General features: G+C 45.8%; 4 annotated features.

Moving 5' to 3' along the window:
• Nucleotides 5042–5789: an enhancer, noted in NCBI's record as "H3K27ac hESC enhancer chr17:36185958-36186705 (GRCh37/hg19 assembly coordinates)". NCBI's record gives its function as "activates a minimal SCP1, AML or CMV promoter by ChIP-STARR-seq in primed H9 embryonic stem cells {active_cell/tissue: H9 hESC(primed)}" and the evidence as "EXISTENCE:reporter gene assay evidence [ECO:0000049][PMID:30033119]".
• Nucleotides 6539–7286: an enhancer, noted in NCBI's record as "H3K27ac-H3K4me1 hESC enhancer chr17:36184461-36185208 (GRCh37/hg19 assembly coordinates)". NCBI's record gives its function as "activates a minimal SCP1, AML or CMV promoter by ChIP-STARR-seq in primed H9 embryonic stem cells {active_cell/tissue: H9 hESC(primed)}" and the evidence as "EXISTENCE:reporter gene assay evidence [ECO:0000049][PMID:30033119]".
• Nucleotides 6539–7338: a biological region, named in NCBI's record as "Sharpr-MPRA regulatory region 14078".
• Nucleotides 7044–7338: an enhancer, noted in NCBI's record as "tiled region #14078; HepG2 Activating non-DNase unmatched - State 8:EnhW". NCBI's record gives its function as "activates a minimal TATA promoter and a strong SV40 promoter by Sharpr-MPRA in HepG2 cells {active_cell/tissue: HepG2}" and the evidence as "EXISTENCE:reporter gene assay evidence [ECO:0000049][PMID:27701403]".

Here is a 14918-nt window from a genome sequence, read left to right as displayed (position 1 = left end):
ACATTTAATGATGCCAGGGAGTCATACTACACATTCCCAGTCAATAGATATTGGCACATCCCACTCAATATTTGTTGAATGAATGAGTTGAATGCATGAATTTTCATTAGGGTCTCATTAATGCTATAGTTCTGCTTGGCTTGTCCAACTTTAAACATTTCACAAAATGAATTTTGAAACCAGGTTCAGGCTGAAATGGTAATATTGTCATCTTTGTTTGGAAGCTGTCTTAATGGTGTTTGCCTGGGCTGGTTCAACCTATAGGCGAAGGAGGCTTTTACTTGATTTAAATTGTTGTTGGAGCCAGGGCTTGACCTGAGAGCCTCAGGACTTTTCTTCCTCCAGAAAGAGCCTTTTGAAACAAGTCTAGAGGTTGGTCCAAAGCTCAGGAGCTGCAAGTCAACTTACAATGCCTTTTTATAGTATTACTTGCATAAGCTAAATAGTTGGCTTCCTATTTCAAGAAAAGATGTGTTTGTTCTCAAGGCTGTCTCCTGGCACCCATTGGGGATGCTGGAAAACACACCTCTGCCCTCCTGATGTTGTTTTGAAATAGCTGGCGCAGTTTGGATTCTTCGACCACAAAAATAATTGTACGCTGCAGCTGAAATACAAGCCACACTGCTTCCTCGGCTCCGCTTTGAATCCCATCTGTCCCCTACCTCATCATAAAGCTTACTAAGAACCTGGCCTCCTTTCCACTCACTGTAGGTGCTCATGCTGATGATATGCATTATTTGTTTTTTATTGATGTCAGCAGTGCTAATGATTAAGTGAAACACTCCACTCCATTCAAATGTCTTGCTTTCACCTGCCGATCCCATTGTGAAGAAAGGTGCAGCATGCCTTCCAATATTTCTCCTAGAACAGCTCAAGTGAGGTGAAACAGTGGAAAGTCAGCCCTGCTGATTTGAATCATGCCACCCCACCTTACCAGCGCCCCAAATGTCAGCCTTCTTCCCACTCAGATGTGGTTGTCCTTGGAAAGACCCAGAACAGACGTTTCATCACCAAGTGGTACTAGACAAAAACGGAAGGTATAAGCAAAGCAGACATAAGTACTTATCAAGGTAGGTACTTCAGTCGTGCACTCTTTATGTAACTGACAACCCAATCGAATTTTTTTTTTTTTTTTTGAGATGAAGTCTCGCTTGTCACCCAGGCTGGAGTGCAATGGCACAATCTCGGCTCACTGCAACATCTGCCTCCCGGGTTCAAGCGATTCTCCAGACTCAGCCTCCCAAGTAGCTGGGACTACAGGTACGTGCCACCACACTTGGCTAGTTTTTGTATTTTTAGTAGAGACGGTGTTTCACTATGTTGGCCAGGCTGGTCTCGAACTCCTGACCTCATGATCTACCTGCCTCGGCTGAATTTTTTTTTAATGATGCAGAATTCTAGCTCATGTTCTGACTAAGGTAGGATTTAGGGGTGGGGGCAAGCAAGAATGCTATTACTCTGAGGTCTGGGTTGTCTTTAACAAGAGAACACTAAAACAGTGAAGAAAAATTGCCAATTGTTGTTTCAAAAAAAGAACAATAAAAGGCAAGCCCCCTGCCCCTGCCTGCTACTCTTTCCCCCTTAACACTCTCAGTCTCTCCATGAGATTTAAAAAAGAAAAGCCCAGGAAATTCCAAGCATGAATGCCTCCCCAGATAAGACAGAAATGGAAGAAAACCAAACTTTGAAAAGTAAGCATTTTGATCTTCATGCAAACATGGAGTTAATCTGGGGACAGCTAGGCACAATTACACAGATGAATTCATTGTGTGAAATGGTCGCTGAGCGTAGAGAATGTCAGTGCCAGTTCAGAGTCCAAGCTCTGTAGGGGTCATACCTGAATCTGCTGAGCTGAGCACATGGAAACCTCAGTGTGCATTCAGCCTTGACCATTCTTTTTAATTTATTTCAGAGTGGCTCACTGGGGTGGCTTCAGGAAATACAAATCAAGTATCCGCCGTGGTGTTTGAAAACATGCCGGGTTTTGATATGTGTTTGACTGAAAATAGAAATAAAAATCTATGGGTCTTTATTTACATGTGTTAAAGTTGTTCTTAAGATAATCGTATGTTTTTTAGACTCTTTTACCCTTCAAGTCAGCTTGTATTCATCTGGAGAGGAAGCCCTCTCGAGTGACAGCCTTAGGCTGATGGCAGCCAGGTGCTGACTGTGGTTGTGTCAAATTCCCCAGGGGTCCTAGGGGACATCATTCCTTGACTCTGGGTCTCCACATCTGTCAACTGAGGAGTCCCAGAACTGGTGGCTACAGTGCAAGTGAGGTGAAACAGTGGAAAGTCAGCCCTGTTGATCTGAATCATGCCACCCCACCCTTCCAGCACCCTGAATGTCGGCCTTCTCCCCACTCGGATGTGGTTGTCCTTGGAAAGACCCAGAACAGATATTTCACTACCAAGGGGTACTAGACAAAAACGGAAGGTATTAGCAAAGCAGAAGTATGTGCTGGACTAACTCCATTATCCAGTTCTCTAGTTCTGAGGCTCCAACTCAGTGGAGTTTGGAAATACCACTCCATCTTGAGGATTTGATTTTAAACAAATGGCTAGTATTTTGACAAGGTAAACTACTTGTGACTCTGCAGCCTAATTGACTTACCAAACCCACAGACTCAGGGCCCCAGCTGGAAAGGACTCAAGTCTTTTGTTTTAAACACCCATCCCTGTTCCAATCAAGAAAAAATTCTAAACTCATCAGGTATCATAGGCCATGATGCATGTGTGACATTTAGCATGACAAAGGAACTACATTATTGACAGGATCTTCTCAGTGTTTATAATTATAAAATATTTGCACTGAAAGAGTCCTTAACAAGCACGTAAACCCAGAATGATTAAGCAACTTGCCCAAGAGCACACAGGCAGCAGGGAGGGAGTCAGGACCAAAATGCAGGTCTCCTGGCTCCCAGCCGGGTTCAGGCTCCTGCATGTGCCCTTCAGAGATAGGAAAGTTCACCTTTTGAATTTGCCTTTTCATATTCACCTGCACCCTTAACAAATAGGGAATGGAAATGTTGAATTTTGAATGTTGGAGTTAGAGCATGTTGCAATTCATTAGAGAAATCAGGATTGATGAAAAATTCACAGTTGCCTAGTCTGTAGGACAGATGATGTTCTTCATTTGACGCTGCCCCTGTTTCGTCACCAGAAGCAGAGCAACCAGGAGACAACGGAAGGAAAGAGGCCCTGGTCTCCTCGGGAACTGTGTTACTGACAGAACAAGGAACAGCTTTGGCTGGAGATGTTTATGCTGACTTTGGAGTATGGATCAGAAGAGGGTCCTGGCTTGCTGATGGAGCTCAGGCCTATGGAAAACAGGATGATCTTAGAGTTAAAAACAAACAACCCTGGGTGTGGTCTCAGGGCCTGGGAGGAAAGGATGAGTCAGCTGAAACTGATGGAAATTAACGGTAAGTCTAAGAGAAGCTAGCATGGCACTGCAAGGTGAAGTGGGGGGAATGGCCCAGAATCAGAAGAGCTGAGCTTCCCTACATTTGGGCTGTGTGACCTTGGGCAGGAAATTTGCCCTGTTTCCTTTTCAGTGAGATAAGGAGAACCATACCTCCTGAAAGTATTAAAGGAGAAGATTTATATCTAGTTCCCTTCCTCCTCCACTTTCCTTAACAGAATCTCTCAAGAGATGCTGCCATTTCCTGAGCACCTGTGAGCTCATCTTATCCTCACAACTGAAAGTGCTTTTTCCGACGTCAGACATGGAAAAATATGGCACCTAAAAGAGGATGTCACTTTGACAACCAATACTCCCCCAGCCCAAAACCAATTATTATAATCACTGATGAAACTGTGATATGGCCTGTGATTCACTTACATACTCTTCTGTGTCCATAAGATCAGCTTCTGTCTTCCGCTTCCACCACTCCCAGTTCTCATTCTATTCCTAGTGTTACCTCTTGAAGATGATGCCTGTCCCTTAAGTAGCAGAAGCAGCTTTCTGTATCTGGAAGAGGAGGGGCCACACTGGGCTTGAGGAGACACCATGATTTATGGTCCTAGATGATGTCCCCTTCTCACCATTCCCACACACAGCCACCCTTTGAGCTTGCACCATCCTCATAGGGGACCCTGTTGGCACTACTATGTGGGGGAACAGCGACCCTCAAGGTTCAGGTGCAGAAGCAAGCACCCGTCAGGTGTGATCCTGGCTCTGCCACTCACTGTGGGACCTAAGCCAATCCACTTCCTCTCTCTGAGCCTCAGTTTTCCAAAGGGTAAAAAGAAGGATCTAGATGAGATACCTCTCAAGGGCCACTCCAGCTCAGATCCTCTGACTTGCTTAGTGTGTGATGAGAGTTATCTTCTCCCAGAAAAGGCTTCTTTTTCTAAAGCCAAGTGTAGTAAGGACTCCTCTACTCTTTCTAGGCATTTCAGACTTTCTTTAAAAAGATCTTATTTTGGCCCAGCGCGATGGCTAAAGCCTGTAATCCCAGCACTTTGGGAGGCCGAGGCGGGTGGATCACGAGGTCAGGAGTTCGAGACCAGCCTAACAAACATGGTGAAATCCCGTCTCTACTAAAGATACAAAAAAAAAAAAAAAAGAAAGAAAAAATTAGCCAAGCATGGTGGTGTGCACCTGTAATCCCAGCTACTCAGGAGGCTGAGGCAGGAGAATCACTTGAACCTGGGAGTCAGAGGTTGCAGTGAGCCGAGACTGCACTATTGTGCTCCAGCCTGGATGACAGGGCAAGACTGTCTCAAAAAAGAAAAAAAAAAAAAAAGAAAGAAAAAAAAGATCTTACTTTACCAGGCTTTTTGGGGCCCACTGCCACTCAGAGGCCAAAATTCTCCCAATGTCAGTGGCTAGAAGAAAATCAGATCAAAAAGTATCCCTGTGCCTCATCTGAACCCAGTTTCTGCTTTGAACCTTTTGCCAAGTCTAGGGCTTATCAGCCAGAGTGTGTGTGAATTACCACATGAAAGGACTCTCTTGGATCATATTTAAAAGAATCATCATTTCAATTTAGATCAGAAAAACACCCAGTCCTTCAGAAAATACATATAAATTCTTCTCTAAATGTCCAAACAGATTTATGCCATAGAAGATGTAATTATCTCCTTCTGGGATAAAGGAATCTTCTAGCTGTGAGGGTGAGCCAAGAAGCCAGAACTTTCTGCCTAAGAGGAGACTGCAGCAGGGCCACTACAGAAGGTTGTCCAAGTTGTTCACTGCACAAGGGCACTGGGCCAAAAGTGGGTAGGGGAGGCAGGAGTAGCTGCTTAAATCCAGCCTGAGCTCCACCGGCCAAGTCATGTGTTCAGTGCAAGGTTAGGTCAGTTCAAATGGAGGTGCACCTTTTGGTAATTCAGTAGAGGCACTGTATATGCTAGCAGGCAGCCACTCAGCATGGAAAAATGGGTCTTTCCTTTGTTAACAAACACAACAGCTCCCAAAGGCTCACAGCAAGAGCAGATGGCAGGAAAGCAGAAGTGAAGGCTGGGTGGCGGGGCAGGCGTGGGGAGAAGATGGGGAAACGATCTTGGGTGTCTGTAGAGGAGCTTACACCCTAATGCCTCCCAGCTGGCCTAAATGAACACAGTTCTGAGAAGACCCCAGTAAGAGACTGTTTCCAGCCCCTCCCCTCCTTTACTGCCCCTCCTTTCGGGCTCTCCTCAGCCTTCCCTGACCTCCCAGCCTACATCAGAGTCCCCATTGCAGGTTCTCTGAGCACCTTTGTTTTTCCTTTACAACACTCAAGCTGCACTTTGTAATTATGTGGGTGTAGGGAATTTGAGTCACCTCTATTCTCCCCCCGTTAGACTGGAAGCCGTGTGAAGGCAAACTATGTTGGGTTTTGCTCTTGTATCCCCAGGACCCAGCATAGTGTCTGGGGCATGAAGCAGGAACTATGAATGAATTAAAATGGTGTGAATTAAAGGGTGTGGGCCTTGCACTCTGCATCCCTTTTTGCCAGGCCTAGGAGGCTGTCTGGGCACAGTGACATGTGGTCACCATGATGTAAGTTCTGTGCCCACCCCCAGGAGACACAGTCCAGAAAAGACATATCCAACCCTGGCTAGGCATTCAAAACACATATGAAGACCAATGAAAGCAGCTTCCCAAAACCCACCCCAAGAGATTGTGATTCAGGGCTAGGATTTGTGTATTTAACAAGGTCCCCCAGGTGACACGAATCTGCCTATCAGAACCAACAGATACTGTTGCAATAGATACAAAGAAGCACGGGGACCAAAGAGAAGGAGGTCCCACATAAAGATCTGTGGAAGGCTTTCCAGCACAAATGATGTCCCAGCCAGGTCTTGATGGCTGGGAAGGGCATTCTGGGTCAAGGGAATGACATAAACAAAGACAGAGACAGAGACATTGGTGCACATGGGGTGAACAAATGGGGACAGGGCAGCAGGGTTGAATCCAAATGACAAGAATCCATTCCTGGGGGACGATCAAGCGTAAGTCACCCACCACTCAGCTGGGCTCCCAGAGCCCTTTTAGGTAAGAAGCCCATATTTTGGCAGTCCCCAGAGGAGTTCCTCTGCACCCCCATTTTTCATGCAGCTTCCATCCTATTTTCAGTCCCATTTCCTGTCTCCCTCTTTCTCATGTTCTTTCTCTAGTTAGACTGTGGGCTCCTGAGGTCCCATGGCCATCAGGGAAGTATTGCCATGGACTTCTTTGATAAATAGGCCTGATTTAAGAACTCTAAACTATCCTGGCTGGATATAGGAGACTGCTGAAGCTGGCAGAAATAGTAGTCCCTAAAGCCAATATCTACAGCCACGCATCTCCAGTGTGGCAGAGAAGGGTCACCTTACTTAATATAAAAGCAGTATCTGGAGCATGAAGGTCAGGCCCCAGAGAGGCCTGCACATCATGCTGCACTTCCATCTTTTTTCTTTTTTGAGCCCAGAATGAGGAGGTTAACGTTAGAAACAACAGAGAGGATGCCTGTGGGATGGGAGGGCAGATCCTCAAAGACCTGCCTGAGCCCTGCCTGAGCTGGAGGGGAGAATCCACACGCTGGGTGACTCAGGCTGTAGGAATGAGCTCTCACCCCAGGCTCCCATCTATCCTTCCACATCTTTCCATGACTTCCTCTCTCCCCACCCCTCTCCCTCTTCCTCCAATGGGCCTGGGCTGGGTTGGCATGCCGGTGCTCTCTCTTAACTGGACTTTTCTAACGGGCCTGCCTGTTGCCTGGACATGTTTTCTACAAGTAAATGTGCTGGAGAGAGGAAACAGAAGTCCTCAGCACGTGTTTCCTCTCTTTGGACCAAGTGGCCTCTGGGGAACCGGTGAGGATCTGAAGTTCCCAGCCTCTGCACCAAGCTGCAGACCCAGGTGTCTTTTGAGCAATGCCCTGCGCCACAGTTCAGTGCCACCTCGCCAAAGCCCGAACTATCTTGTCTGCTGTCCGGTTATAAATTAATCTCTTGTCATCAGTGATTAACTTATTCAAGACACAGGAGCTGCTGAACCAAAACAGCCCCTTGGGGTGAAAGAGCCTCCAGCATGGTGTGGCGTGTAGGTCTGCCTGTGACCCTGGCCATGCTGGCTCTTGTGCTGTGTCAGCAGGGCTGCAGGGATGGCCAGGGCAGGGGTCCGGCTCTGGGCACTGCTGCCCTGGAATGTTCACTGAGTGCCTCGAAGTGGAGATCCATGCTGCAAATATCTAGGGCTTGTTTTTGTGTGTGTGTTTGTCTGCAAGGAAGGCTTTGAAAAGGGGGTTGGGGTGGGCCACGTCCCTAGGGGCACATGTCACCTGAATACAAACAGCCTGGACTGATAGAGGAGCAGAGGGGAGCCCAACTTTGGAATTCACAGATGTTGAGGGGAGTTATGGGCCACCTATTATAGCATAAGCCATTACAGTGGAAAGAGGCCTCCAAGGTCATTAGCTCCAACTTCCTAATTCTATAGAGGCCAAGGAAGAAGGCTTGACTCACCCAAGGCCACACTCTAGAGCCAATGGGGAGGAAAAGAACAAATGTCAAATCTTGTCTATATGTCAGATAAAGGCTCATTTAGTCACCACCATGATGATAGGCAACAAACAACTTCCTTAGGAAAAAATTTCCAAGGAATCCTTCTATACCCCACCACTACCATTTAAAGACCTCAAAAGTAAGATTTCTCTGATTTTTTTCTGAATAGCCCTGGTAGATTTGGTCTCACTTCTTAGTTCAGGGCACCTCACAGCAATTTAAAAATGGTGCCTTTATTCACCTCTAGGGTGGTCCTCCCCCAGAAAACCGTAACCCCAGCCTAACCAGGAGAAAAACATCAGAACAACCCAAAGCAATGGATGTTCTACAAAGAACTTCACCCCTACTACTCAAAACTGTCACGGTCACCAAAGCCAAGGAAAGCCTGAGAAACTGTCACAGACTGGGGGGCTAAGGAGACACGATGATTGAGTGCAATGTGGCACCCTGGATGGGATCCAGGAATAGGAAAAAGTCATTAGGAAAAATTAGTGGAATATGAATAAAGTGTAGAGTTTAGTTAACAGTAGTGTAACAATGCTGGCTCCTTAGTTGCAACAAATGGACTACAGTAATGTAAGTCTATGGCCACACCACCCTGAACTTGTCTAGAGTAATGTAAAATGTTAACAATAGGGGAAACTTGGGATGAGATACACAAACTCTGTACTCCTGTTGCATCTTTTCTGTAAATCTTTTTTTTTTTTTTTGAGATGGAGTCTTGCTCTGTCGCCCCGGCTGGAGTGCAGTGGCGCGATCTCAGCTCACTGCAAGCTCCGCCTCCAGGGTTCAAGCAATTCTCCTGCCTCAGCCTCCCAAGTAGCTGGGACTACAGGCGCCCACCACCACGCCTGGCTAATTTTTTGTATTTTTAGTAGAGACAGGGTTTCACCGTGTTAGCCAGGATGGTCTTGATCTCCTGACCTCATGATCCAGCCGCCTCGGCCTCCCAAAGTGCTGGGATTATAGGCGTGAGCCACTGCTCCCGGCCGAGAGTTTCTTAAAAAAGAGAGTTACTTTAAAAAGACAGAGTTTCGTTCTTGTCACCCAGGCTGAAGTGCAATGGCACAATCTCAGCTCACTGCAACCTCTGCTTCCCAGGTTCAAGCGATTCTCTTGCCTCAGTCTCCCAAGTAGCTGGGATTACAGGTGCCCGCCACCACGCCTGGCTAATTTTTGTATTTTTAGTAAGGATGGGGTTTCACTATGTTGGCCAGGCTGGTCTCGAACTCCTGACCTCAGTTGATCCACCCACCTCGGCCTCCCAAAGTGTGGGGATTACAGGCGTCAGCCACCGCACCCGGCCCTTTTCTGTAAATCTAAAACTATTTTAAAACAAAGCATTTATTTAAAACTTTTTTAAAATGGTGCTTTTTCGTTTTCTTTAGTCTGGAACCTTTACCAGAAGGTTCATTACAGTGTCCATAACATGGTAGGTGTGGAATAACAAGTATTTGAAAGAGGAAAGAAAGAATGAGAGAGGGAAGGAAGGAGGACTAGAGAAGAGAGGAAGGAAAGAAGGAAGGGCAAGAGGGAGGGAGAAAGATATTAAGGGACAAAATACGAAAGTAAATAGAACCAGTCAGGTGTGGTGGCTCACACCTGTAATCCCTTCACTGAGAGGCCTAGGCAGGTGGATTGCTTGAGCCCAGGAATTGGAGACCAGCCTAAGCAACATGATGCGACCCCATCTCTACTAAAAATACAAAAAATTAGCTGGGCATGGTGTCGTGTGCTTGTAGTCCCCACTACTTGGAAGGCTGACGTGGGAGGATCACCTGAGCCCAGGAAGTAGAGGCCGCAGTGAGCTGTGATTGGAGCACTGCACTCCAACCTTGGTGACAGAATGAGACCCTGCCTCAAAAAGAAAAAAGTAAGTAGAACCATTCATCAACTGATAAATGGATAACTGTAGTATCTCTATGCAATGGATTCAATGGGATATTGGGCCATAAAAAGAAATTAAGTAGTAATACATTCTATAACATGGAAGAGCTTGGAGACATTATGCTAAGTTAAAGTAAGTCCACCAAAGAGACCACATATTGCATGGTTCCATTTATATGAAATGTCCATATGCAGATATGAAATGTCCAAAGGCAAATCCATAGAATAGCAAATAGATGAGTGATTACCATCTTATCTGTTGGGGACTGGGGAGGAGAAACAGGAGCAGCTGCTCACGGTCATAGGGTTTCTTTTTGGGGCAATGAAAATGTCCCAGAATTAGACAGAAGTGATGGTTGCACAACCTTGTGAATATATTAAAAGCACTGAATTGTACACTTTAAAATGGTGAATTTTATGGCATGTAAATTACATAATAAAGTTTAAAATAAAATAAATGAAAATTTGCAAAACTCAATACAACCCGATCTGTACCTTCAAGGAGCTCACAGTGTACTGGGGGCACCATTTCGGTCCAGGTGACTATAAGCCTCTCCCCTTGTCTGTAAACTCTATGGGGGTAGGAGCCATAAGTGTCTTGTTCATTCTTGTGCCCAGCACCTGGTAGGATCTCAGTAAGCACTCACTGAATGAAGGAGTCAGTATGTGAAGTCTTGAGACAAGTATATGTACAGGAGCTCTGGGGCCACAGAGGAGAGGCTAACTGTATTTATTTATTTATTTATTTACTTATTTATTTATTTAGTTTTGAGACAGAATCTTGCCCTGATGCCCAACCTGGAGTGCAGTGGTGCCTTCATAGCTTACTGCAGCCTCAAACTCAAGCATCCGCAGCAGTGGGGACTACAGACATGCACCACCGCGCCCAGTCTTTTTTATTTTTGTAGAGATGAGATCTCTCTATGCTGCCCAGGCTGGTCTCGAACTCTCAGCCTCAAGCAATCCTCCCACCTTGGCCTCCCAAAGTGCTTGGATTACAGGTGTGAGCCACTGCACTTGGCCAGAGAGGCTAACTTTCTAAGGCATTCAGAAAAACCACAGGCTCTGATGTGGACAAGATTTAACAAATCATGACACCATAAAGATTTTGAAAACTCTCCCTAGTGACTAATCCAGGCAGTTCCAAGTCCCCAGGCAAAGCCCTGAAAAGGTGGCTGCTTCTAGCCCACTGCCCATTCCCTGTGCTCGGCAACCACTTTCTCTTGAATACCCACAAACTCCTTGGGGAAATGTGGTCTACCCTATCCCAAGAACTCATAGTCTAGAGAAAGGGATGAATCTGCACACCCCCTAACACCCTACCTCTGCTGCTGCAGTATGCTGAGAAGGAGAGCAAAGGGATGTGCCCCAGGGCCATGACTAGCAGGTCACAGCCCTGGAGCAGCTTTGGTGACATCATATCAGTATGAGGGGCCTTGAAGCACAAAGGAATGAATTTATTCTGAAATACAGTTTCTGGGTTGGTCCATCTCCACTATTCCTCCTACAAATGGTTGTGTGTTTTCTTCTTCCTCCTTTCAAGCGGGAGTGCTTCATAGGTCCTTAGATCTAGCCTTTAAGGTCATCAAGTCCCCAGTAAGACCCCCAGGTGACCTGACTACTCAAAGCTAAGTGCTACTAAACAAAAAAAAAAATGAAAACTGCTTTTTGACTTCCTGAGCCACCCAGAAGGAAGTGAATATTTTTTTAATCTAGTTTCAAGTACCTAAAAATACTGGGCAGCTCTGGCTGGAAACTGTCACAGATACAGAAAGGACTCAGCAGAGAGCTCTTGATCACAAAAGTGAGCTTAGCGGGGGAAAGAAATCTACCCAACTAAGCACTGCAGTCTTGGCAGATCAGAAGTGGAAACGCAAAGGACTTGTAGGCGCACAAGGCTGGATGTAGTAACAGCCCAGCTATGTCAGCTTAGGAAGGTAAACTCTGAGCCTCATGTGTAACAAGAGGATATAGTGCCCACCTCACTGTGTCATTTTTAGATTACAAAGATTATGGGTGTCAAAGCATCCTGATTAAGGTCTGGCAAATAAGAGACAGTAAACTGCAGGACTTGTTTTTCATTGTTGCTGTTACTATTATAATTATACCTTGTAAATTTGGAAAGTATTTGGAAATAAATTTTTCATCAAAAAACTGTCTCTAATCCTCCAGTGTATTCTAAAACCTATTCAAAGAACAAATTGAGCCCTGGATCTTTATCCTGGACTAAATTGCAAATAGCGTTTCTATGCCGTTTTGTAATGAGTACGTTGTGATAAAATCACAGAACATCAGACACCGGATTTTAGACATCCACTCCCCTGCCTTTCAGCCTTGTCTGTAAAACAAAACAAAATACAACAAAGCACCAATGAGCCGCAGTGGATAGGCTGAGAAGGAGATTTTGGCCCTAAAATGTCTCAAACTTCACGTGAAATCTGATTTCAATCTTTATTTCTTATTAAAATGTCAGCTTTGCAGGAATGCACTACTTTAACACCTGATAGAAGTAGAAACTCACATGGTTTCAACAGAAGAAGGAGGAAGAGGGGGAAGGAGGGAGAGGGAGAATAAGTGGTAGCAATAGCAACTGCTCTGCACCAAATAGCTCTGATCTTGGCTAGCTACTAACTTTTGAATTTCTCTGGAAAATCAAGGGCGATGCATTACACATAGGAGTTCTAGGAACCAGGTTTACCAAGTTTGATTTACCTAACTCATCAATTAGCACATGCTTCCCCACAACCCCGCTCCCCCAACCCCACCACCACCAGTGACCAAACACTATTTGGAGGTTGTCTTCTCCTTGTCTGCCTTCTAAATCCTGCCCACCCTTTAGGGTCCAATCCCCATTCCCATGAAGTCTCCAGAAATGATTCACCATTCTTTTGCTTTGATGAACTCAGACTGACAGAAACTTAAGGTTGAAGTGGACAGTGGAGTTTCTTACCCACCCTCAAATACTGCAAAATTCCCGAGCCATCACCACCTGTGCTGAAATATCTCTGGTAACAGAGAATGCATCGCTGAACGTGGCATTCGTAGGTTCTGTTGCTGACTGCTAGAAACAGCAGAACCAAACTCAGTTTCCCTGCTACTTCCATTCATAGAGCCCCAGTCAGCCTCAGGGCCACAGAGGGTAGATGTCATTCCTCTTCCTCAGCAGGCTGGCTTCAGGACCCTGGACTCAGAAGGGCACTATGTGACAGGCTCTGCTTTAGCCACAGGGCATTCAATTCAGGGGTGTTTAAGTCATGGTCCCTGGCCCCACCCCCTGCATTTGGAGTGGGTGGCAGACAAGGAAGCAGATTATAAACAAGAGGTTCTCAAAGTGTGATCCCTGGACCAACACCAGCAGCAGCACCTGGGAACGTGTCAGAGATGCCGAATCTCAGAGCCCCACCCCAGACCTGCTGAGTCAACAGTGTTGGAGGTAGGCCCAGAAATCTGTTTGAAGGAGCTCACCAGGTGGCTCTGATGCACACTCAAGCTTGAGAACCACTGACATAACACAATATTATGCAGCCGCTGAAAATTGTGTTTCAAAAGATACTTAATGACATTGGAAGATGATCCTGATACAATGATAAACTAGTGGGGAGAATCAGTTTACAAAATTAAGTATAAAATATGACAATTTGGGGAAGCAGAAACTACAGAGAGAAAAGTGCTGGAAATAAATACTATCAAATATTCATAGTGGCTCTCTCTGGAGCTAAGTTAGTTTATATTTTCTTTTTTTTTCTGTGAGACAGTCTCACTCTGTCGCCAGGATGGAGTTCAGTGGCGCGATCTCGGCTCACTGCAACCCCTACCTCCCGAGTTCAAGTGATTCTCCTGCCTCAGCCTCCTGAGTAGCTGGGATTACAGGCGTGCGCCACCATGCCAAGCTAATTTTTTGTAGTTTTTAGTAGAGACAGAGTTTCACCATGTTGGCCAGGATGGTCTTCATCCTTGACTTCATGATCCAACCAACTTGGCTTCCCAAAGTGCTGGGGTTACAGGCATGAGCCACTGCGCCTGGCCTATATTTTCTTTTTTATGTTGCTCCATGCTGTCTATATTTTCCACTTTTATAGGCAGAACCTTACTATTACAATAGATGATTGTAATTCACTAAGGCCCTGCCTTCCTTGTCAAGACCGTGAAGCCCCATTCACACCTAGGCCTGGGTAGTTAGCAGAACTTAACATACCCCTTCTCTCTGCTATAACATTTGGCCCCTATGACCAGATTGTAGCTCATCCCAGATCTGGATTCTCTCCTCCAGAGTGGTAGGAATCTACCCCCTTAGCCTCCTGTCTAGAAGAAGAACAGCATTTACTCAGTGCTAGTTATAGGCTAAATGCCTTGCATGTGTTACATTTACTCTCTCTAAGGTTCCTAGCAGGTTGGTTAAATTCTCCCTGTTTACCAATGAGAAAACTGAGACTCAGAGGAATTAAGGCACTTGTTCAAAGATCACACCTTTTTTCAGTCTGGGCCATTTCTGCTAATAGGCATTTTAACCCTGGCTTCATTTAAAAGTTTTCTGGGCTGGGTGTGGTGGCTCACTTCTGTAATCCCAGCACTTTGGGAGGCCAAGGCGGGCGGATCACCTGAGGTTAGGAACTCGAGACCAGCCTGGCCAACATGGTGAAACCCCATCTCTACCAAAAATACAAAAATTAGCAGGGCATGGTGGTGGGCACCTGTAATCCCAGCTACTTGGGAGGCTGAGGCAAGAGAATCGCTTGAACCCAGGAGGTGGAGGTTGCAGTGAGTCGGGATAGCGCCATTGCACTCCAGACTGGGCAACAAGAGCGAGACTCCGTCTCAAATTTAAAAAAAAAAAAAAAAGTTTTCTGGAAAACTTAAAAGAAAAACAAACAAAAAAAAAAACCAAGCCTGATTCCCACTACAAACCAATGACATCCACATCTCTGGGGGTAAGGTCCAGGTATTGGTATGTCTTACAAACACCCCAGGTAGTTCCAGTGTGCAGCCAGAGGGAGATCCATTAGGGGGTGCCAATTCCTTGAGCTCTTAACCATCCTCCCAACCCCAGTAAAATAGTAA

This window comes from Homo sapiens, chromosome 17 (assembly GCF_000001405.40).
Source record: "Homo sapiens chromosome 17, GRCh38.p14 Primary Assembly".
Lineage (NCBI taxonomy): Eukaryota > Metazoa > Chordata > Mammalia > Primates > Hominidae > Homo > Homo sapiens.
Note: the sequence above shows the minus strand (reverse complement) of the source record. Positions and strands in the feature narration are given on the sequence as shown.